Here is a 26,100-nt window from a genome sequence, read left to right as displayed (position 1 = left end):
AGAGTATGTTTGATATGTCTAGACAGCTTCTTAGTCCTCTCATGTTTATTACACTTAATGGAAAATTACAGCAACCCAATCCAGGCAGGATATCTATTGGTCCAGACTGTTCAGTAATGAAGGTTTGAGTCATCCTGCCAGACCAAGCATCATGACCAGCTGACATGCTATCTCAGGGCAAAGGGAATGAGAAATGGGTAGAGAAAGAAGGCAGTTATAAATACCAGCTACAACAATGTGAGCTGCTGCAGAAACCAGGACTGTAATACTAAATACCTTGCTGAGTTATTGACTCATGCCCCTCCTCCGGCGGAAGAACAAACAAACAAACAAAAGTGCAGCTTTTATTAAGGGAGATTTATTAAATATAAAAAGTTACCTCTTTTTTTCTTAGCTTTTGGAAGGGAATTCTCTTCGCTTCAAAATTATAGGGAGCTTCAGTAATAACCTGTTCCATCCTGCGGCGTGTATCCTTGTTTCTCCTTGGTCTTTGCACTAAAACAATTATTTTTTTTCTCATGTGCTTAACTTTTCTGAGATGGCAGTAGGAACCTATATCTTTAAGCACCTTCTCGAGTTGCTGAATTAAGGCAACTTTTTTAAACCTGAAATTAAAGAGGTATTCCATTAACCAGAGGATACCTACAGGATCTACGAGTTGTAAGAGGTAGTAGTGGATACAAAATAGAGTTTACAATCGACATGCAAATAGAAAATGCATCCTCATGGAAAGATACAAACTAGAAAAATACAAAGTGATTCAACTGAGGACCCACGCCCACTCCCAGATTATGGTAAATTTGGAAGGCTCCATGGCATCGGAAGAAAGTGTTAGAATAAGATAATATCAACCTAACTGCCTGTGGAAATAGTATGAACTATGATTGAGGGCCAGGGATTAGGAAGAACAAGGCATGATTTTTTCCTGCCCCTGTCCCAAATTGGGCGCAAGTGCTTAAAACAACAGCAGAGTTCCTTTTTGCACCCACCTTGCTGCTTCCCTGATGGTAAATTCAACAAATTGTCTCTTGACTTTCATAGATCCTTGTAGTTCTTCAAGCAAAATGAAAATTGTTTTATAATCTGAAGATATTTTAAAATATTAGTATTTCTAGAATTATGAAAATGAAATATACCTCAATCTTAGTGCATCCACTACCACTGTATACATTTTTCATGGGTTACAATGTTACGTAGTGTTTGTGTTTGAATGCTTAAATCACAACACCTGTATATTACTAAGGAAACTGTTGTGAACACTAACAAAGGAAAACAAAACACTTAAGCAGATGTGTTAGAAATTTTCAGTGAAATTAAATAGAAGTCATGCTAAATCATATACAGATCCAATTCAGCCCAGCAATGAGCTCAAGAGGCAGCTTAATTCTGTTCTAAATCATAGAATGAGAGACTTGGCATGCTTTCATTGATAGTCATCCTTGCACTACTTACTTTGCCCAAACCTTCAAACTTCTTTCATTAATTGACATTTTATATCATGATTAATTTTCTTTGCCATGGCAGGAGATATTTGTGGTATATTTGGCACAGTTTCCACTGAAGACATTGCTGTGACTGGTGGGTCACCTGCAGAGACCATTTTTGGTGCCTACCACAAGTCATTACTATCAGGTTTGTAAAGCAGCTTATATCTGCTGAGACTAGTGAAGTTGTAGGAGAAAGAATCCAATGCGTTGGGTGGCATATGATCTCCTGTCATATTTATAAGCTCTGGTGGAGCAGAATTTAACAGGAAGCCATTAGGAGGCGTTTGACCATTTTCCATCTCCTCCTCTTGGATATTGTGAATGACAGTAGCATCTGGAATCCAAATGAAAAAGTTGAGCTGTGAGATAAGTGCATTATGTCACCCCCACAGCTATATCCATCTGAGGCTCAGTTTTTAGGATGTTATCTCATAAAGCAGGAAGATACACCAGGTGGCTATCCGAGACCCCTCAAACTGAGCTCAAGAAAGATGATACAACAAAACCACCTTCTTCCCTGCAGGACACTATGTATGCATATGGAAACCAAGTAGGACAGTACAAGCAATACACAAACATACACAGATCCCTGGTACTCCTGGATGAAATACCAGCTCCTGACAGATTAATATGCCCCAGTGGAACCACTGACAAGGAGTTATCAGGTGCTTGTTTTTCATCTTCTCTTCATGGACATTGTGAGTGGTGGTGGCATCTGGAAACAACAAGAGGTCGAGCTGTGAGGTAAGTACATTATATCAACCCTGCAGGGTATATTCCTCTGATGCTCACTTGCTAGGAAATTATTGCACAAAGCAGGAGGACATGCCAGGTGGTGATATGAAATCCCTTAAATTGAGGTCATGAAATATAATATAACAAAATCCCCTTCTCCCTTTCATGACACCATGCACGCATATGGAAACCAAGTAGGACAATCCAACTTATAAGTTAACATACACAGATCATTGGTACTCATGGCTGGAATACCAGCTTCTGGTGTATTAATAAGCCCCAGTGGAACAGCTGACAAGATGTTATCAGCTGCTTGTTGGCCATTTTCCATCTTCTCTTCATGGGCATTGTGAGTGACAGTAACATCTAGAAACCAGAAGAATACATCAAGCTGTGAGGTAAGTGCATTATGTCAACCCCACAGGATATCCCTCTGATGCTCACTTTTTAGGACATTATCTCATAAAGCAGAAGGATATACCAGGTGGCAACCTGAGACCCCTGAAATTGAGCTCATGAAAGATAATACAATAAAACCACCTTCTTCGACTTATGACACTGCATGCATATGGAAACCAAGTAGGAAACCAAGTAGAAACAACTAGTAAACAAACATACACTGATCCCTGGTACTCATGGGTGGAATACCATCTACTGACACATTAATAAGCCCTGGTGTAACGGATGACAAGAAGTTATCAGGTGCTGGTTGGCCATTATTTATCTTCTCTCCACGGACATGGTGAGTGACTGTAGCATCTGGAAACCAGATGAAGAGGTTGAGTTGTAAGATAAGTGTACTGTGGTAACCCCACAGGTATATCCGTCTGATGCTCAGTTTCTAGGAAAATATTTCATGAAGCAGGAGAGGGTATGCCAGGTGGCGATCTGAGAACACTCAAATTGAGCTCATGAAAGAAGGTACAACCAACCAAATCACCTTCTTCCCTTGATAACACTATGCATGCATATGAAAACCAAGTAGGACAATCCAACTTATAAGCAAACATACACAGATCCTTGGTGCTCATAGCTGGAATACCAGCTGCTGCCATGTTAATATGCCCTGGTTTAACAGTTGACAAGACGTTATTAGATTGTGGTTGGTTATTTTCCATCCTCACTTCATAGACACTGATTGACGGTAGCATCTAGAAACCAAAGGAAAATGTTGAGCTGTGAGGTAAGTGCATTTTGGCAACTCCACAGGTATATCCCTGTCATGCTCAGTTTCTAGGAAGCTAACTCATAAAGGAGGAGAGGATACACCAGTTAGTGATCTGAAATCCCTCAAATTGAGGTCATGAAAGATAAAACAAAACCATCTTCTTCCCTTTATGACACCATGCCTTCATATAATAACCAGGTAAGACCGTACAAGTAGTAAACAAACATACACAGATCCCTAGGACTCATGGTCGGAAAACCAGCTACTGCCATGTTAATATGCCCTGGTGGAAAAGTTAACAAGACATTATTAAGTTGTGGTTGGTCATTTTCCATCCTCTCGTCACAGACATTGTGAGTGATGGTAGCATCTGGAAACCAAATGTTGAGGTCGAGCTGTGAAGTAAGTGCCTTATTTCAACCCACAAATATATCCCTCTGATGCTCAGCTTCTACGAAATTATTACATGGAGCAGGAGGACATGACAGGCGTTGTCCTGAGACCCCTCAAATGGAGGCAAAAAACATAATACAACAAAACCACCTTCGCCCCTTCATGACACTATGCATGCAAATGGAAACCAAGTAGGAAAATCCAACTAAAAAGTGAGCATACACAGATCTCTGGTACTCATGGCTGGAATACCAGCTCCTGCCATATTAATAAGCCCCGATAGAACATTTGACAAGATGTTATCCGGTTGCGGTTGGCTATTTTCCATCCTCTCTTCATGGACATTGAGACTGGCCGTAGCATCTGTAAACGAAATGAAGAGGTTGAGCTGTCAGGTAAGTGCATTATGTCAACCCCACAGGTATATCCCTCTGAAACTCAATTTCTAGGAAATTATCAAAGAAAGCAAGGGAGGATATGCCAGGTGGCCATGTGACACCCCCCAAATTGAGGATAGAAAAGAATATACAGCAAACTTACCTTCTACCATTCATGAAAATAGGCCTGCTTAGAGGAAACAAGTAGGACAATACAACTAATAAGCAGACATACACAGATCCCTGGTACTCGTGGATGAAATTCCAGCTGCAGCCATATTACCAATCCACGGTGGAACAGTTGACAAGATGTTATCAGGTGCTGGCTGGTCGTTATTTATCTTCTCACAGACGATGTGAGTGACTGCAGCATCTGGAAACCAAATGAAGTGGTTGAGCTGTGAGGTAAGTGCATTATGTCAACCACACAGGCATACCCCACTGATGCTCAGTATCTAGGAAATTATCTCATAAAGAAGGAGGATATGCCAGGTATCAATCTGAAAAAACCAAGTAGGACAGTACAACTGAATAAGCAAACATACACTGATCCCCGGTACTCATGGCTAGAATACCAGCTGTTGCCAAATAAGTAAGTCCTGGTAGAAGAGTTGACAAGACGTTATTAGATGATGGTTGGTTATTTTCCATCCTCTCTTCACGGACATTTTGAGTGACGGTAGCATCTGGAAGCCAAAGGAAGAGGTCGAGCTGTGAGGTAAGTGCATTATGTCAACACCACAGGTATATCCCTCTGAAGCTCAGTTTCTAAGAAATTGCTCCATAACGCAGGAGGATATATCAGGTGGTGATCGGAGACCCCTCAAATTTAGGCCAGAAAAGATAATATAACAAAACCATCTTCTTCCCTGCATGACACTGCATGCGTATGGAAACCAAGTAGGACAGTACAACTATTAAACAAACATACACTTATCCCTGGTACTCAGGGGTGGAATACCAGCTCCTGCGAAATTCATAAGCCCTGCTGTAACAGTTGACAAGAATTTATCAGGTGCTGTTTGGTCATTTTTTGTCTTTTCTTCACAGACATTGTGAGTGATGGTAAAATCTGGAAACCACATGAAGAAGTTGAGCTGTGAGGTAAGTGCATTATGTCAGCCCTACAGGTATATCCCTCTGATGCTCAGTTTCTAGGAAGTTATCTAAGAAAGCAGGCGAGGATATGCCATGTGGTCAACTGAGACCCCTCAAATGGAGGTTAGGAAAGAATATACTACGAAACCACCTTCTATAATTCATGAAAATAAGTATGCACATGGAAATCAAGTATGACAGTACAACTAATTAATAGACATACACAGATCCCTGGTGCTCATGGATGGAATACCAGCTGCTGCCATATGACCAAGCTGTGGTGGAACAGTTGATACGACGTTATCAGTTTGGCATTGGCCATTTTCCGTCGTCTCTTCACGGACATTGTGAGTGATGGTAGCATCTGGAAACCAAAGGAAGAGGTCGAGCTGTGAGGTAAGTGCATTATGTCAATCCCACCGGTATATTCCACTGATGATAAGTTTCTAGGAAATTATCCCATAAAGCAGGATAATACATCATATGATGAACTGAGGCCCCTCAAGTTGAGTCCAGGAAAGATAATTCACAAAACAACCTTCTTCCCTTCATGACACTATGCATGCATATGGAAACCAAGAAGGACAGTGCAAGAAAATAAAACACATACACAGATCCCTGGTACTAACTGAAGGAGTACCAGTTCCTGCCATATTAATAAGCCCAAATAGAACATTTGACAAGACATTATCCTGTTGCGGTTGGCCATTTTCCATCCTCGCTCCATGGACATTGTGATTGATGGTAGCAACTGAAAACCAAATGAAGAGGTCGAGCTGTAAGGTAAGTGCATTATGCCAACCCCACAGGTATATCCCTCTGATGCTCAGTTTCTAGGAAATAATCACTTAAAGCAGGAGGATATACCAGGTGGTGATCTGAGATCCCACAAATTCAGCTCACGAAAGACAATACAATAAAACTACATTTTTCCATTTATGACACTGCATGCATATGGAAACAAAGTAGGATAGTACAACTAGTAAACAAACACACACTGATCTCTGATACTCATAGGTAGAATACCAGCTCCTGCCAAATTAATAAGCCCTGGTATAAGAGTTGACATGACATTATCAGGGCTGGTTGGCCATTATTTATCTTCTCTTCATGGACATTGTGAGTGATGGTAGCATCTGGAAACCAAATGTAGTGGATGAGCTGTGAGGTAAGTACAGTATATGAATCCCACAGGGATACCCCTCTGATGCTCACTATCTAGGAATTTATCTCATAAAGAACTAGGATATACTAGGCAGCCCTCTGAGAACCCTCAAATTGAGGCCAGAAAACATAATACGACAATACCACCTTCTTCCCTTGATGACAATATGCATGCATATGGAAACCAAGTAGGACACTACAACTAGTAAACAAACTTACACTGATCCCTGGTACTCATGGCTGGAATACCAGCTGCTGCCAAATAAGTAAGCCCTGGTAGAACAGTTGACAAGCCGTTATTAGGTAGTGGTTGGTTATTTTCCACCCTCTCTTCACAGACATTGTGAGTGACGGTAGCATCTGAAAACCAAATAAAAGGGTTGAGCTGTGAGCTAAGTGTATTGTGTCAACCCTACAGGTATATCCCTCTGATGATCAGTGTCTAGGAAATTTATCTCATAAAGCAGGAGGATACACCAGGTGATGATCTGAGACACCTCAAATTGAGCTCACAAAAGAGAATCTAACAAAACAACCTCCTTCCCTTTTTGACACTGTGCATTCATATAGAAACCAAGTAGGACACTACAACTAGTAAACAAACATACACTGATCCCTGGTACTCATGCCCAGAATACCAGCTGCTGCCAAATAAATAACCACTGGTTGAACAGTTGACAACATGTTATTAGGTTGGGGTTGGTCATTTTCCATCTTCTCTTCACGGACATTGTGAGTGACGGTGGAATCTGGAAAACAAATGAAGAGGGTGAACTGTGAGTAAGTGCATTATGTTAACCCCAAAGGTATATCCCTCTGATGCTCAGCTTCTAAGAAATTATTGCATAAAGCAGGAGGACATGACAGTTGGTGATCTGACACCCCTCAAATTGAGCTCACGGAAGATAATACAACAAAACCTCCATCTCCTCTTCATGACAATATGCATGCATATGGAAACCAAGCAGGACAATCCAATTTATAAGTGAACATACACAGATCATTGGTACTCATGGATGGAATAACAGCTCCTGCCATATTAATAAACCCTGTTGGAGCAGTTGACAAGGGGTTCTCAGATTGGGGTTGGCCATTTTCCATCTTCTCTTCAGGGACTGTGAAGGTGACTGTAGCATCTGAAAACCAAATGAACAGGTTGAGTTGTGAGGTAAGTGCATTATGGTAACCCCCCAGGTATAACCTTCTGATGTTCTGTTTCTAGGAAATTATCTAAGAAAGCAGGGAGGATATGCCAGGTGGCCATCTGAGACCCCTCAAATTGAGGCTAAGAAAGAATATACAATAAAACCGACTTCTACCCTTCATGAAAATATGCACGCTTATGGAAAACAAGTATGAAAGTACAACTAATTAGCAGACATACACAGATCCCTGATACTTGTGGATGGAGCTGCAGCCATATAACCAAGCTGTGGTGGAGCAGTTGACAAGACATTATCAGTTTGGGGTTGGTCATTTTCCATCCTCTCTTCACGGACATTGTGAGTGATGGTAACATCTGGAAACCAGTGGAACAGGTTGAGCTGTGAGGTAAGTGCATTATGACCACCTCACCGGTATATCCCACTGATGCTCAGTTTCTAAGAAATTATCTGATAAAGCAGGAGAATACATCATATAATGATCTGAGTCCCCTCAAATTGAGGCCAGGAAAAATAATTCAACAAAACCATCTTCTTCCCTTCATGACACTATGCTTGCATATGGAAACCAAGGAGAACACTACAACCAATAAGCAAACATACACAGATCCCTGGTACTCATCGCTGGTATACAAGCTCCTGCCATATAAATCAGCCCTGACAGAACATTTGACAAGACGTTATCCATTTGCAGTTGGCCATTTTCCTTCCTCTCTTCATGGACATTGGGATTGACGGTAGCATGTGGAAACTAAGTGAAGAGGTTGAGTTGTGAGGTAAGTGCATTTTGTCAATCCCACAGGCCTATCCCTCTGATGCTCAGTTTCTAGGAGATTATCTAAAAAATCAGTGGAGGATATGGCGGGTGGCCATCTGATACCCCTCAAATTGAGGCTAGGAAATAATATACAACAAAACCACCTTCCACCATTCATGAAAATATGCCTGCTTATGTAAACCAAATAGGACAAGTCCAAATAACAAGCAGACATACACAGATCTCTCGTGCTCGTGGATGAAACTCCAGCTGCTGCCATATTACCAGCAGTCGAGCAGTCGACAAGGTGTTATCAGGTGCTGGTTGGCCGTTATTTATCCTCTCTTCACGAATGCTGTGAGTGACTGCAGCATCTGGAAACCAAATGAAGTGGTTGAGCTGCGAGGTAAGTGCATTATGTCAACCACACAGGCATACCCCTCTGATGCTCAGTATCTAGGAAATTATCTCATAAAGAAGGAGGATATACCAGGTAGCAATTTGAGAACCCTAAAATTGAGGCCAGAAAAGATAATACAACAAAATTACCTTCTTCCCTCATGAGACTATGCATATACTGCATAGTGGAAATCAAATAGAACAGTATACCAAGTGAGCAAACTTACACTGATCCCTAGTACTCATGGATGAAATACCAGCTGCAGCCATATTAATAAGCACTGGTGGAACAGTTGTGATGACATTACCAGGTGCTGGCTGGCCATTTTTTACCTTCTCTTCATGGACATTGTGAGTGATGCTAGCATCTGGAAACCAAATGAAGAGATTGAGCTGCAAGATAGGTGTGCTTTGTCCAATCCTCCCCCAGAGGGACAGCTATGTATTAATCAGTTTCTAGGAAATTATTTATTTCATGAAACAGAAGGATTTACCACGTGGGAATCTCAGATCTTGCAAACAGAGATCAGGTTAGATAACACAGTAAAACTACCTTCTTACCTCTTGGCATAATGAATACATGCAGTAAAGAAGTACGACAGCAGAATAAATATTCACAGGTTTTAGTACTCATCATTTTGTATCATCTTGCTGCCCTTTACATTTCTCATTTGATATTATTGTTGTAATTCACCTATAAATGCCATGCTGTGTGCAGCAGGAAGCCAGACTAAGTGAGCCGTCCTTAACCTGCCTCCTTTCTACCTCAAATATTCTGAGAAATTAGAGGTGGCTATTGGAGTTGAACACTCTTATCTCCACTCTATCATCATACATCTGTGTTTTTATATGATTCTACAGATCCTTCCCTTTTGTCTAGAAAAAGTGACTTTCTTTTCACTCCAGGTCTGACACCTCTTTCATTTATTCACCATCTGTGGCAGGCAGCGTGCCAGGAGCTGGGGATCGGCAGTAAACAGCCCAGAGAGCAACGTTCCCTGCCCTGTGGAGCTCACATCCTCATGGGGCAGTCAGACAAAACATGTACAAAGAGCAAATGAAACAAACAGTGCTGGGCTGGTTTTGGGGAAGCAGTCCACAGGCATGTGGGAGACAGCAGCAGAGGTAGCCCCAGGGGCTGCAGCTTGTTGGCAGGGCCTTCTGAAAAGGTGCCATCGGGCAGTGCTTGGAGGAAGAAGCAGAACCTCCTGTGCAGAGGCAGAGGGAGAGTTCCAGGTTGCGGTGAGGCCAAGGTTAGGGGATGGAGTGGGGATAGACCGGGCACTAGAGAGGTGAAGGACAGAGGCAGAGAGAGCCAGGAGGAAATGGACGGGACCCGCGTTAGGAGAGGGTGATAGAGGCCAGTCTGTGCAGAGGCTTGGAGACCAAAGCCGGTTCAGGGTCTGTTCTGAGTGCTTAGGAGAGTTGAGGTTGGGTTTTCAGGAGGGACATGGCATGATGTAATTTACACGCTGACATAATTATCTAGCCATAGGGTTAGAGTATGTGATAGATGAGCGAAGATTAGAAACACTGAGCTAAGAAGGCATTGTACTATCTTGGAGAGAGATCACGGAAGTGTGCACTGGAGGGACAGAGAGAAACGGTTGGATGCAGAATTTATACTGGGCATCGACTACTAGACTTGCTAAGAGATGGGAAATGAGAGAGTAATAAAAGAATCGTAAGATAACTCATAAGTGACTTTAAGTATTTTGACTTGAACTACTAAGTAAAAGTACACCGGGGTGTTCAGGAGGTGTTAGGCAACCGACTGTGAGAGCTGAGTGCTGCCAACTCTTCTTGAATCTGGTTCCGTGACCTTACGTTGACAGCTTGAACTAGGCCATGGTGGGATTATCTGCTCTATGGATAGCTGCAAACTCCAAAAACCAGGACTTCTCAATCCTCGATACCTGTGAACAGCTGGTTGCTACAACTTAGAGGATATTTCACCTAATGGACAGTATCTTTAATTGAAAAGTGAAGGATGAAAGTAGAGTATTTTTGGAGAGAGGGAGGTCAGAAATTTGAACACGTAGAGCCAGTTGAATTTTACATGCCTATTAGACACCCAGTAGAGATACCGCGCGTGTAGTTGTATTTGAGTCTGGATTTCAGGAGCAAGTTGTAGTGCTGAAGTATAATGGTGAGAATTCTTATAGTGTGAATCATTTAAAATTCTAAGACAGCATGGCATCGCCTAAATAGATAGTATACTGAAGAGAAGAGAGTCTAGGATTAAGCTTTGGGGTTCCGAAATATTTAGAGGTGGGAAGGGAGAGGAGAAAAACAAAAAAGAGAAGGAAAATGAGTCTCTAGTAACAGGGTAAGAAATCCAGGTGTCTGGGGACCCAAGAAGCTTTCCGTGCAGGAGGGAGTAAACAACTGTGTCGCATGCTGCTGAGACATTAATGCCAAAGTGTAGCAAACACTGGTGACCTTAATGATAGTAGTTTCATTGGAGTACACTAAGAAGCCAGACCACACTGGGTTAGAGCGGAATGTGAGGACAGGCAGAAAGTGAGCAGACTCATCCTCTTGTTGAGCCCACCATCTCCTTCTGCCTCAGGAACCTGCTTCATTCATCTAACACTTGCAGCAACTCCAAATTGTTGCACCTAATTAGAACCTTGCCCTTCCACTTGCAAATGTGCTCATATCTGTTCATCCCTCAAGGACATGACTACAAATGTCCTTTGACATGGTTGAGGCCCAAAGATTGGATTCCCCCTCACCTTCCTGTTTGTCTAACCGCAGGGACATACTCTTCCCTCTCTTAGATGAAGAGTGTCTCTTGGATTTTCTGGAACGTTTCTGTTTGCTTTGATGCCCTGTTGCAACCTGATTTACTTCATCACTCCTCATTTGCTGAAAAACATCAGTGAACATATTCCCTTAAAGACAAATCCTAGGCCGGGCGTGGTGGCTTAAGCCTGTAATCCGGGCAGATCACAAGGTCAGGAGATCGAGACCATCCTGGCTAACATGGGGAAACCCTGTCTCTACTAAAAATACAAAAAATTAGCTGGGCGTGGTGGCAGGCGCCTGTAGTCCCAGCTACTCTGGAGGCTGAGACAGGAGAATGGCGTGAACCTGGGAGGCGGAGCTTGCAGTGAGCCAAGATCGCGCCACTGCACTCCAGCCTGGGTGACAGAGCAAGACTCCGTCTCAAAAAAACAATAAATAAATAAATAAATAAATAAATAAATAAATAAAAAATAAAGACAAATCCAACCATTGTAAAGTCACAGTCTTCATATGCATACACAGCCATGCATTTATATCGCTAATATAAAGTTTTAGTCACAGGTCAAAGATTTCTCATCACTCAACACACACGACGCTCTCAGAAAAGGCAAGCTAATTTTAATCTAGTCTCAGTGAAACAAGGGAAGGTAAAATACAAGGTGTTATCCAAAGTCAAACATGGTACAGTCATGATTAATCAGAATGTTTGGGGAATGAGTGGCTTCCATCAACCAAAGGAATAAACATATGGTTATATCTCTAATGAATTACACATCATTTTGTCTCAGCCCTTGTTAGGGGACCAAAAAAAAGAAATACCTTTCTTATCTTTCAGTGCTTTAAAGCTACGTATTAACAAACACTGATAAATACTTTATTAGATGATACATATAGATAGTGAAGGGTAGGATAGATTGAAAAGGTAAATGTTCCCACCATGGAGGTGTGGGAACATTTACCTTTTCAATCTATCCTACCCTTCACTATCTATATGTATCATTATGTATATCATATAGATACATATAGATATCATTATATCTATATGTATCACTATCTATATGTTTCTATATGCTTCATTCCCCAAGCATTCTGATTAATCATGACTGCACCATGTTTGACTTTGGATAACACCTTGTATTTTACCTTCCCTTGTTTCACTGAGACTAGATTAAAATTAACTTGCCTTTTATGAGAGCATCATGTGTGTTGAGTGATGACAAATCTTTTATTCCAATATGTTGATCTTGGAGACAGACAGGGATAGGGCGTGCTTTGCAATGTTGATGGTAGATAAAACATGAAATTCAAGGGTATACTAGGCTAACTAAAAGCTATTTTCATCAAAGGATAACCCAAGACTATGCTCCTGACTACCAGAGGTACCAAGAAGAGCTCGTACTATTTCTACTGAAAGTATTCCAAAAAAATTGAAAAGGAGGGACTCCTACCTAACTCATTTTATGAGGCCAGCATCATCCTGATACCAAAACCTGGCAGACATACAACAAAAAAAGAAAATTTCAGGCCGGTATTCCTGATGAATATCGATGCAAAAATCCTCAGTAAAATTCTGGAAAACTGAATCCAGCAGCACATCAAAAAGCTTATCCACCATGATCAAGTTGGCTTCATCCCCAGGATGCAAGGTCGTTTCAGAATAGGGAAATCAATGAATGTAATTCATCACATAAATAGAACTAATGATAAAAACCACATGATTATATCAATAGATGCAGAAAAGGCCTTTGATAAAATTCAACATCCCCTTATATTAAAAGCTCTCAATAAACCAGGTACTGAAAGAAAATACCTCAAAATAATAAGAACCATGTATGACAAAGCCACAGCCAATATCATACTGAATGGAAAAAAGGTGGAAGCATTCCCCTTGAAACTTGCACAAGACAAGGATGCCCTCCCTCACCACTCCTATTTAACACAGTATCAGATGTTCTGGCCACGGCAATCACGCAAGACTAAGAAATAAAGTGTATTCAAATAGGGAGAGAGGACGTCAAATTATCTTTGTTTGCAGATGACATGACCCTATATCTAGAAAATCCCATTGTCTCAGCCCAAAAGCTTCTTAAGCTGATAAGCAACTTCAGCAAAGTCTCAGGATATAAAATCCATGTGCAAAAATTGCTAGCATTCCTGGCTGGGCACAGTGGCTCACGCCTGTAATCCCAGCGCGCCGAGGCGGGCGGATCATGAGCTCAGGAGATGGAGACCATCCTGGCTAACACGGTGAAACCCCGTCTCTACTAAAAATACAAAAAATTAGCCGGGCGTCTGTAGTCCCAGCTACTCCGAGGCTGAGGCAGGGGAATGGCCTGAACCCGGGAGGCGGAGCTTGCAGTTAGCCGAGATAGCACCACTGCACTCCAGCCTGGGCGACAGAGCGAGACTCCGTTTCAAAAAAAAAAAAAATTGCTAGTATTCCTATACGCCAAAAGCAGGCAAGCAGAGAGACAAATCATGAATGAACTCCCATGCACAATTGCTACAAAAAGAATAAAGTACCTAGGAATACAGCAAACAAGGGAAGTGAAGGACCTCTTCAAATAGAACTACAAACCACTGCTCAAGGAAATCAGAGGACACAAACAAATGGAAAAACATTCCATGCTCGTGGATAGGAAAAATCAATATTGTGAAAATGGCCATACTGCCCAAAGTAATTTAGAGATTCCATGCTATTCCCACTAAAATACCATTGACATTCTTCACAGTTGAGAAGAAGTTATTTTAAAATTCATACGGAACCAAAAAAGAGCCAGAATAGCCAAGACAATTCTAAGCCAAAAGAAGAAAGCTAGAGGCATCACGCTACCTAACTTCAAACTATACTACGGGGCTACAGTAACTGAAACAGCGTTTTCCTGGTACAAGAACAGATATAGACCAATGGAACAGAATAGAGAACTCAGAAATAAGATCGCACAGCGGTAACCATCTGTTCTTCAACAAACCTGACAAAAACAAGCAATGGGGACAGGATTCCCTATTTAATTAATGGTGCGGGGAGAACTGGCTAGCCATATGCAAAAATTGAAACGGGACCCCTTCCTTACACCTTATGCAAAAATTAACTCGAGATGGATTAAAGACTTAAATGTAAAACCCAAAACTATAAAAACCCTAGAAAAAAATATAGGCAATACTATTCAGGACATAGGCACGGGCAAAGATTTCATGACAAAAATGCCAAAAGCAATGGCAACAAAAGCAAAAATTGACAAACGGGATCTAATTAAACTAAACAGCTTATGCATAGCAAAATGAAGTATAATCAGAGTGTACAGACAACCTACAGAATGGGAGAAAACTTTTGCAATCTGACCATCTGACAAAGGTCTACTATCCAGACTCTACAAGAAACTTAAACAAATTTACAAAAGAAAATCAAACAAACCCTTTAAAAAGTTGGCAAAGGACGTGAACAGACACTTCTCAAAAGAAGACATTCACGCGGCCAACAAGCATATGAAAAAAAGCTCAACATCATTGATCATTATAGAAATGCAAATCAAAACCACAATGAGATAACATCTCTTGTCAGTCAGAATGGCGATTATTAAAACGTCAAGAAACAACAGATGCTGGCAAGGTTGTGGAGAAAAAGGACTGCTTTTACACTGTTGGTGGAAGTGTAAATTACTTCATCCACATGGGAGACAGTGTGGTGATTCCTCAAAGATCCACAGGCAGAAATAGCATTTGATCCAGCAATCCCATTCCTGGGTATATACCCAAAGAAATATAAATCATTCTATTATAAATATACAAGCATGCGTATGTTCATTGCAGCACTATTTACAATAGCAAAGACGTGGAATGAACCCAAATGTCCAGCAATGATAGATCGGATAAAGAAAATGTAGTACATATACACCATGGAATACCATGCAGCCATAAAAAGACATGAGATCATGTCATTGTAGAAACATGGATGGAGCTGGAAGCCGTTATCCTCAGAAAACTAATGCAGGAACAGAAAACCAAACAGTGCATGTTCTCACTTATGAGTGGGAACTGAATGATGAGAACACATGGACACATGGGTGGGGAGCAACACACACTGGGTCCTGTCAGGTGGTGGGGGAGGAGTAGGGAGAGCATCAGGAAGAATAGCTAATGGATGCTGGGCTTAATACCAAGGTGATGGGTTGTTAGGTCCAGCAAGTCACAATGGCACACGTTTACCTATGTAACAAACCTGCATATCATGCATATGTACCTCACAACATAAAATAAAAGTTGAAAAAAAGAATATGCTCCTGCATTAAATATGCAGGAGCATATTTAATAAAATTTATATTTTATTATTAAAAATAAATATATTTATATTTATTATACAAATTTATTAATATTTAATAAAATTCACATTTATTATATTAATAAATATCAATAATAATAAAAATAGTTATATTTATTATATAAATTTTATTAAATATAGTATTTAATAAAAATATATTTATATATAATGTTGATTTTAAAATTTTCCAAACCATTTTCATTTCCTATAAAATAGGGGCTTAGAATGTGTGAAAACATTTTTACCGAACATCTACTACCATCCAGTTACGGTTCTAAATGCTTTACATGTATTAACGCAATCCTTGGCCAATCTCTATGAATGTGGTGTGATTCTTATCTCTATTGCTAAAAAAGAGAAAATAAAGGCACAGAAAATTAAGGAAAAGTTTAATTAATTGAGGAGTTTTGGGAATATGGTGGAATAACTTTAGTCTGTTTTTGTCACAGAAGAGATTATTGCCTACCTGTGTCCTTAGGCCAATGGTCTGTTCCACAACTGCAGATGCAATCTCTTTTGTCTTCATGTTTTAATGGTGGAGTTAGTATGTCTATCTCATACACAACACAAAACTCATATTAAGATCTCCATTAGGACAATCCAATTATGGCAACATCATCTAGTGCTTCATAGTCCACGAGGAATACTTAGTCATTTTTTAGATAGAGCACTAGAGACTTGGATAAGAGAAACAGAGACTGTAGACTGTAATCTCGATATGAAAGGAGTTATTGTGGGGAGTGGGAAAGAATATAGAGTCTGGAGTCAGAAAGGTATGCGTTCAAACCCTGGCTCTACCTCCTATCATGTGTCACTTGGGGCAAGCCATTTGACCACTGTCAGCCTTTATTTCTTACTAAAGGGGATATAGTAATACACATCTGCAGAACAATTATGAGTATTAAATGTGATAATTAAAAACTTAGTTCCTTGTGTAATGAATCCACTCTTGGTTCAAAAAATTCCCATTTTATGTTCACATAAGAATTCCCGTGTCATGTTTTATCTTTTAAATCAAGAGAATTAACACCTATAGTTCACGTTTATTTTTTCAATAAGAAAGTAATTATACTAAAAACGTCACAATTAGGGCAGAAATAGAAATAGTTATCTTACCTGCCCATCATTTGTAAACACGTAGCCAACTGTATGAAGTTCTTCAGGTGGAGTTGGTTGACTCGTTTGAAGTGGAGAAGCCTGTATCTGCAGATAGTCCTCATAATTAACTATGTGTGTTACTAGAACACTTTGATTTATAACTGGAACATAACTGGCACATAAATCAGTGCTACACAGCTGAAATATATGATCCTCTTGAGAGTACATGATCACAGACTGTCTTAGTAATGTGTGCCTTGGCACCAAACACAGTTTAGAATCTCATATCTAGAATCTATATCATGTTCCGTGATCTAGAATCATCTCCCTTTACCTAAGTCATGACTCAGTCCACCCTCACTACTTCCTATAGGTTCACACCACTAGGTTAAACAATTCCCTTATGCCTCCAGCTCAGTTTGAGAATGGGCTGACCTCCCTTACACCACCATCCCAACTAAAAATCTAATTCTAAATATTAATACTTTAATATTTAGAATGCCAATTTTCACTGAATTATTCAAGTTCATTTTTTAAAGCTCAAAGGAGAAGTATGTATTAATGAGCACATACACTGTCCTACTTAACTTACCTGCCCATTATTTATAAACACACAGCCAAAAGTATAAACTTCTTCAGGTGGAGTTGGCTGACTCGTTTGAAGTGTCCGATTTGAAGTGACTGACTCCTTTGAACCAGCATCTGCAGATATTCCTCATAGCTAACTATGTGTGTGTGACTAGAACACTCTGATTAAAAACTAGAACATAAATGGCAAAGAAATCGACACTATTCTCCCCATTGAAAGGGTGTAGGCTCCATGGCATTCTCTTATCATCCAGAGAACGCTAAATAGTGGGCCTAACCCTCTTTGGATAACTTGCTGAAATCTATAGATATTTTTCCCTGGAAAAATACCCTTACACACAAACTTGGTGTATAATTTCAGAAGTGTGACCAGCCTGAGATCTGATTAATTTAGTGGACAGATGACCCCACTTAAAATCACCAACATTGGGGTACAGAGGGTTTGTAAACTGATGCCAATTATCCTGGACACTATCAGCTTTGTTATTTCCATATAAACAAGGAATTCTCTGCTGAACTCACAGCGGTAGGCAGTGTCATATAGTATTTGTGTGTGCAATCTCTGAAATCTGACAGACCTAGGTTCTGTCACTTTTCCAACTGGATAAACCTGTGAGGGCTGCTTAAATATGCACTCTACGATTCTATTTCCATAAAATGGGCATAAAACAGTATCTAACTCATGGCGCTCTCATAAGGATTACCAGAGATAAAGCACAAAGAGGATAGTGTATGTGCTGGCTAATACATACTTTCCTTTAAGCTTGAAAAAAATAAACTTCTGGGATTTAGTGAAAATGGACATTCTAAATTTTAAAATATTCAAAAATAAACTACTCATACAATAAACACCTTCCTACAAACTAGACTTGATATTTTCAAAATCAATAAAGGCCGACACAAAAACGTGTCTGGTTTCAGCATAGCAAATTTCCTCCTAGTTAACTTGTCTAAATGACTGCTACTTGCAATATCATAAGCATTTCTGTATGTCTAAGTCCTCCTTTATGAAACAAGTAATTCATTATTCCTGAAGTTTTAAATTGATGTATTTAACACAGACAAGCAGTAGGAGAGGAATGATGGAAATTAGAGTAGAAGAAAATCAATAAAATAAAAAAAACAGAAAAATCAATGAAATCAAAAGTTGGTTCACTGAAAAAGTGAAAGAAACCTAACAATCTTTTAACTTGACTGACCAAGGAAAAAAAGAAAGGACTCACAGATTATCAAAATCAAGAATGAAAGGGGGGTAATTAATACTGACCTTATAGAAACTCAGAGGAATAAATTATGAACAACTTTATGCCAACACACTAAACAACTTAGATAAAATAGAAAAAAATCCTAGAAGACAAATTACTGACTCAAGAAGAAATAGAAAATCGAAATAGGACTATTGAAAGAAAAGGGATTTAATTAGTAATTTAAAATCTCCCCACAAATACAAGCCAAGCCAAGGTGGCTTCACGTGTAAATTCTGCAAACATTTACGGAAGAAATAATACCAATACTTGGCAATGTCTTCAAAAAATAACGGACGAAGGAACACTACTTCATTCTATGAAGCCAATATCACCCCGATATCAAAGCCAGACAAATATGTCACAAGATATATTTTCCTGTCAGCTCCAAATTCACCTTTTTATCCCGCTGTGTGAGAAGGGTCTGTGTTCCTCCGCCTATGTCGGCTGTACAGTTGTTACTGAAGGCCGCCTTTAGAGGGCGCCAGAGTCAGCGAAAGGGAGGGCTGCGCTTCCAGGTTCTCTAGGCTGGCACCCACTGAGCGAGAGGCTTCTCCTAGGGACTCTGGCGCCCCACACAGATCCCAGAGTTCGGTTGGAGCAGGGCACGTGGTGGCCTGCAGCTTCCCTTCCTTCCATTGCGCTTGGACCATACGAGTGATCGGTGCTTATGGTGAGACGCCTCCCCATGCGCATCATTCCCGGGCGCCCTAGGGGGCACATTTCCCACAACTCCTAGAGGGCAGGTTTCTAGAAAGTTCCAGCAGTGGTGAGGCACCATAACAACTTTATTGCCATTTTGTGAGGTGCAGCCATACTCCTCTGGCAAGATCAGGGTTTTGTTTTTTTTGTTTTTTGTTTTCTCATTTTTATGTTTGAGACAGAGTCTTACTTTGTCTCTCAGGCTGGCGTGCAGTGGCAGTGAACAGGGCTCACTGCAGCCTTGACCTCCTGGGCTCAAGTGATCCTCCCACCTCAGCCTCCCGAGTAGCTGGGACCACAGGCATGCACCACCATACCTATTTTTTGTAGAGATGGGGTCTCACTATGTTGCCCAGGCTGGTCTCAAACTCGGGCTCAAGCAATCCACCCTCCACGACCTTCCAAAGTGCTGACATTATAGGCGTGAGCAACCACGCCCAGCAAGGTCAGAATATCAACATTGGTGCTAAGATGAATAGGATAGAATTTCATTCAACATTGGGGGGTTGGGGGAGGTTATTTGAGTATTCCATTTAAGATCTGTAGTGGGGAGCTCTTTCCAAGGCACTGTATCTCAGCAGTATTTCAGGATAAACTTTTTGGAAGTTAATCTATCTTAGCTCTGGGTTAAAGGGATTCTTTCCTGTATACTAACCTCAAATTCCCAAAGGTAGATCTCCAATGAGTTCTGCCAATGTGGCAGCCCAACAAGTTCTCTGGCATACACTGAGTAACAGCTGGGCTTACCCGATATGTGGACTTCAACCCTTGGTTGTGGTGGTGGTGTTGTGAGTGTTTCCTCATATGCTCTCTTCAAGCCCTGCAGAGGACTTTCATGGGTTCCTCTGTCTCAGCATGGGGGTGATGAATCTTCCTCTGGGTTTTAACTTAATCCTGGGAGAAAGCTCTTAGCTTCCCTGGGTGCCCTACCTCAACCCTAGGTGAATGCTTCCTTGTGGGCTCTGTCACATCCCTTTTGGATGGGGCTGTTTCTGAGGTGCTGTATCTTAGCCCTGGAAAGGATTTTCCATAATGCTCTATCTCAGTCCAGATGGGTGACTCTAAGGGGCTGTATCTCAGCCCTTGGGAAGGAGACTTTTCCTTGGTTGTTTCATAACTGCAGTTGGAAGGCTCTTCCCTGGGTTCTCATCATAATTATGTTAGGGGATGCCTTCCTTTGTTTCTCTATGTCGGCCATGAAGTGAAGGAGCTTCCTTGGATGCTCTGTTTCCCACCTCGGATAGGGGAGGACCATTCCTTGGTTGCTATATCTCAGCCCTGCAGGGGACTCTTCCTCACGTGCTCATCACAGCTGTGTGTGTGTGTGTATGCTTGAGAATAGTTTATATTCCAATTATTGGGTACAGGTTTCTGTAAATGGCCACAAGTTAACTTTGCTTATTGTATTGTTCACATTTATGTGTTTATTATTTTTTTCTGTTCAACTTAACAATAACTGAGATAATTACATTTAAAATCTTCTACAATAATGGTGGATTTTTCAGTTTCCCTCAATAGTTCTACTTATTGCTTTATATATTTTCGAGACTGTTTTATTACCTGCATACAACTATACAATTGTTAAATGTTTCTGGAGAAACAAATTTTGACCATTACGTAGGGACTATTTATGCTCAAATAATGCATTTTATTGGTCCTTTATCTGATATCAATATAACTTCCTCATCTTTCTTTCTTTTTTTGATGTTTGATATTTTAATCCAAACACATTGCTATTTGCATTAAAATCACAGGATACACGAACATGTAGAAGGTAGTATGTGGTAAAAAATGCTGAGCTTCACATGAGCTCACATTTAGCTCTGGTCCTGCCCTTGACCACTCAAAAGACCTGGGCAATTCATACTTCCTCATCATAAAAGTGAGGGAATTTGATTGGATGAATGCCAGACTTTTTTTTTTAACTTTTATTTTAAGTTCAAGGGTACAAGTACAGGTTTGTTACCTGGGTAAACTTGTGTCACAGGAGTTTGTTGTACAGATTATTTCATCACCCAGGTGTTAAGCCTAGTACCCATTAGTTATTTTTCCTGATACTTTCCTCCTCTCACCCTCCATCCCCAGGTAGGTTCCAGTGTCTGTTGCTCCCATATTTGTGTCCATGTGTTCTCATCATTTAGCTCCCACTTATGAGTGAGAACATGCAGTATTTGGTTTTCTGTTCCTGTGTTAGTTTGCTAAGGATAACGGCATTCAGCTTCATCCATGTCCCTGCAAAGGACATGATCTCATTCTTTTTTATGGCTGCATAGTATTCCATGATATATATGTACCACATTTTCTTTATTCAGTCTGCCATTGATGATCACTTAGGTTGATTGCATGTCTTTGCTATTGTGAATAGTGTTGCAGTGAACATTTGCGTGCATATGTCTTTATGTTAGAATGATTTATATTCCTCAGGGTATATACACAGTAATGGCATTGCTGGGTCAAATGTTAGTTCTGCTTTCAGCTCTTTGAGGAATCACTATGCTGCTTTCCACAGTGGTTGAACTATTAGGTTGGTGCAAAAGTAATTGCTATTTTTGCCATTAAACGTAATGGCAAAACTGCAATTACTTTTGCACCAACCTAATAATTTACGCTCCCACTAACTGTGTATTAAGTGTTTGCTATTCTCCACAACCTCACCAGCATCTGTTATTTCCTGACTTTTTAATAATAGCCATTTTGACTGTTGTGAGATGATATCTCATTGTGGTTTCGATTTGCAATTTGCATTTCTCTAATGATCAATGATACTGAATGCTCTGCTTTTAAAGGGCTCATGTGTGTAAGTCAGACCCACTTGGAGAATCTCCTTATCGTAAGATCAAGTGACTAGTGAGCTTAATTACATCTGCAAAATTATCTTTTTCCTGTAATGTAATCATGAGACTAACACCAGAGGGTAAAGATCATGGGGACCATCTCAGAATTCTTCCAAAGAAAGAGAGAGAAGCTAAATATAGCAAGAGTTGAAGCCATGAGTTTTGGGCCACTTTCTCTTGCAAAGTACTTATCGCTCCAGGACCTGAGTGTGATCTTTATGTATCCCTTCAATTTGATAATGGGGTGCTTCTGTACCTACACATCACTATGATTTGGGGGGTCAGAAAACACCCTGGTTAGGATAGGCAGCTCAGCTGGCATGGTAATATTATGTCCCATAGCCAGGGGTTCAGCCTCTACTAAAGCCCAGTAGTAAGCCAAATGTTTCTTGAAAGTTCAAGAATGACATTTATTTCTCTAGGAAATTAGTGCCAGTAGAGCTGGTGTCCTGTAATCATGGAGAAATCTGATTATTTCCCTTTTCCAATGCACCATCACCCTAGTAAAGGGCTTCAGTCTCCTTTGGGTAAGAACAGGAGAACAAGTAATAGTATATACCATTTCAGCATATGAAGGGTCCTTCTTCAAGAAGCCCCCCCTTCATGCATAAACTTTTTTGGGTCTTTAACCAAGTCAAGTCTGGGATTTGATTGATTCAGGGACCCTTAAACTTTTTTGGGTCTTTAACCAAGTCAAGTCTGGGATTTGATTGATTCAGGGACCCTTAATGAAAATGGGAGTAATGAGAGATATGTCTGAAATGCAGAAGCTCCTATAGAGCACCTCTTAGTACTCCTGTATCCAGTGATGAAAGCCAATGGAAACTAATACAACTTAATTCAATCAGGACTGCTAATGGCCTTGAACCGTGAACCTCAGGAATTCAAGTTTGAGTCACCCCATCAGGAAAAGGTCTGTCACCAGGGAAGATGCTTGCTGAGGACAAAGGGAGTATGAAATGGGTAGTGGAAGGAGTGACCACATGGCCATATGCAGAAACAAGGACTGTAATAACTATGAGTATTACTTCCTTATCTTGATATGGATGTTTACATACATATGAAGCAAATATTTTTGGTTCTCGTCCCCTTAGCTAATAATCTAAAATGTATTAACCAAGATTTAACTTTATTTTCAGTATTTGAGATATAGGATATTAAGGGTAGAGTGTGAATCAGGTTGAAGAAAAATGTGCAATATCTAGAGACAAAAACTAGACTTTGTATCCTCTTTAGGAAAAGTGTTAATATGTTATTTGTAAGCAGGAAAACTTTCTCATGTTAGGCAGAAAAATAACTTTGCTACTGTGTTTATTTAGCGATAGATATGGCTTAAGGAGATGTGCATGGGTACCAAAATGACAAGAGGTACACCTTGTAATGTGTCAGCTTGGCTAGGTGAATTCATTACAGACAATTCCCTTTCCTGTGTGTTTCCAGTTAGATTGTACGACAGGGAGATACTTTGAAGATTGGAGAATGTGGCCGAGGAGAAACAGCATTGATTTTGTAGCTCATACCCATTGTTGCTGACCTGCTGATTCACCTTTTGGCATGAAGCAGCAGCTGTGCCTGCAATTCTTCTACCTTCCACTGGATTCTCCTTCAGTTTCTCTATCTTTAGGATAAGGTCTTTGAGTTTAGCTCCTTTAGGCAGGGTCCTGGATTATACAGAATACCCTCGTCACCGAGGTCAGAGGCAACAAGAATAAGGTCAGAGGCAAGAAGAATGGAGACATATTTGTCTGTCCTTATGGGCTTTCAGATCATGTTTGTGGATTTTATTAATAGCCTGTTCTTTCTTCGTATAGAGACTTGGTAACCACATTCCGTAACTACATAAGGCGATTTTTTTTGTAACAGCAGCAGCAACAACAAACTTACATATCACATACTTTTTCTGCTGCTGCTTCCTTCTTTCTTTCTTCCTTTCTGCCTTCCTTCCTTCCTTCCTTCCTTTACTTTCTTTCTTTCTTTCTTTTCTTTTCTTTTTTCTTTTTGATTTAGGGTCTTGCTGTGTTTTCCAGGCTGGAGTGCATTGGTGCATAGTCTCACTGCAGCCTTGACCTCCTGGGCTCAAGAGACCCTCCCACCTCAGCCTCCTGATTAGCTGGAACTACAGGCACCTGCCATCATGCCCGACTAATTTATTTTTAGTACACACGAGGTCTTGTTATGTTGCCCATGCCGGTCTCAAACTCCTGGCCTCAAGCAATCCTCCTGCCTCTATCTCCCAAAGTGCTGGGATTATAGGCATGAGCCGCCCTGCCTAGCCTTTTTCTGCTTCTTTAGTTGAACTTTGATTGCTGTAGGCAGGAAAATGACTAAACCCTTATTAAGCCTCGTTATACCACTTGCTTCTAAAGTTTGGTAGTTTTCCCTGTGCTGATGTATTGTAGATAGGCACCTTTTAGAATTCTTTTATAATTTCCTTGTCCCATTCAAAACATTTTTGAACCAAGTATAAACACAAATACCATTATTGATGGTAAGCTGTTTCTTATAAAAACATGATTACATTTCATGATTTTTCTATTCAGGAATTTGAGCAGGGCTGGGATGGGCAATCATTCTGCTTAACATGGAATCACCTGGCACCACTCAGTGATATCCAGATGGCAGCTGGGCTGCTCTGGAGAGCTTTATTGTTGTTATAAAATACACACAAAATAAACTTTATCAGTTTCACAATTTTAAAGTGTATAATTCAATGGCATTAAGTACATTCACAATGTTCTGCAACCATCACACAACTATCTAGTTCTAGAAATTTTTCATCACTATCCCAAAAGGAAACTCTGTATCCATTAGCAGTCACTACCCATTTTCCCCTCTCCCTGGCCCCTTGCAACCAGTAATCTACTTTCTGTCTCTGTAGATTTCCCAATTCTTGATATTTCATATAAATTGAATCAATCATGGTATATGCTCTTCTGTCTTCTTTCACTTAGCATAATGTTTCCAATGTTCATCCATGTTGTAGCATGTATTAGTACTTCTCTTTTATGATGATTATTACTCCATTGCATGTATATATCACATTCTGATTTTTTATTTACCCATTAATGGACATTTGGGCTGTTTCCACCTTTTGGTTGTTGTGAATAGTGCTGCTATGAACAAATGCATGCAAGTTTTTGTTTGAACACCCATTCTATTTTCTTCCTATTTTAAACTTTTGTTTTAGGTTTAGGGGTACATGTACAGGTTTGTTATATAGGTAAACTCATGCAATGGAGATTTGTTGTACAGACTATTTCATCACCTAGGTGCTAAGCCTAGTACTCAATAGTTATTTTTTCTGCTCCTCTCCCTCCTCCCATCTTCCACCTTCTGATAGGCCCCAGTGTCTGTTGTTCCCCATCTTGTGTCCATGTTTTCTCATCATTTAGCTCCCATTTATAAGTCAGAACACTCAGTATTTGGTTTTCTGTTCCCGCATTAGTTTGCTAAGGATAATGGCCTTCAGCTCCATCCATGTTTCTGCAAAGGACATGATTTTATTCTTTTCTATGGGTGCATAGTATTCTGTGATGTATATGTACCACATTTTCTTTATGCAGTCTATCATTGATGGGCATTTAGTACATTCCATGTCTTTGCTATTGTGAATAGTCAACACCTATTTTTTTTCATTAACTTTTGTTTTGAGTTCCATGTTTACAAGTGCAGGGTGTGCAGGTTCGTTACATAGGTAAATGTATGTCATGTGATTTCCTGCATAGATCAACCCATCACCTACAGCATCCATTAGCTATTCTTCTTAATGCTCTCCCTCTGCCCGCCCCGCAAAAGGCCCCAGTGTATGTTGTTTGCCCCATGTG

General features: G+C 40.4%; 1 pseudogene, besides 1 other annotated feature; it reads right to left on the bottom strand.

Moving 5' to 3' along the window:
* The window catches only part of SAGE4P (sarcoma antigen 4, pseudogene), a 34,840-nt pseudogene extending 17,704 nt beyond the window's left edge, over positions 1–17,136 (bottom strand).
* Positions 4,114–5,313: an enhancer, noted in NCBI's record as "CDK7 strongly-dependent group 2 enhancer chrX:134744552-134745751 (GRCh37/hg19 assembly coordinates)". NCBI's record gives its function as "activates an origin of replication core promoter dependent on BRD2, BRD4, P300/CBP, MED14 and CDK7 cofactors, with strong dependence on CDK7, by STARR-seq in HCT116 cells {active_cell/tissue: HCT116}" and the evidence as "EXISTENCE:reporter gene assay evidence [ECO:0000049][PMID:35650434]".
* Positions 17,137–26,100: the final 8,964 nt, after the last annotated feature.

This window comes from Homo sapiens, chromosome X (genome assembly GCF_000001405.40).
Source record: "Homo sapiens chromosome X, GRCh38.p14 Primary Assembly".
Classification (NCBI taxonomy): domain Eukaryota; kingdom Metazoa; phylum Chordata; class Mammalia; order Primates; family Hominidae; genus Homo; species Homo sapiens.
This window is presented reverse-complemented; position numbering and strand designations above follow the sequence as displayed.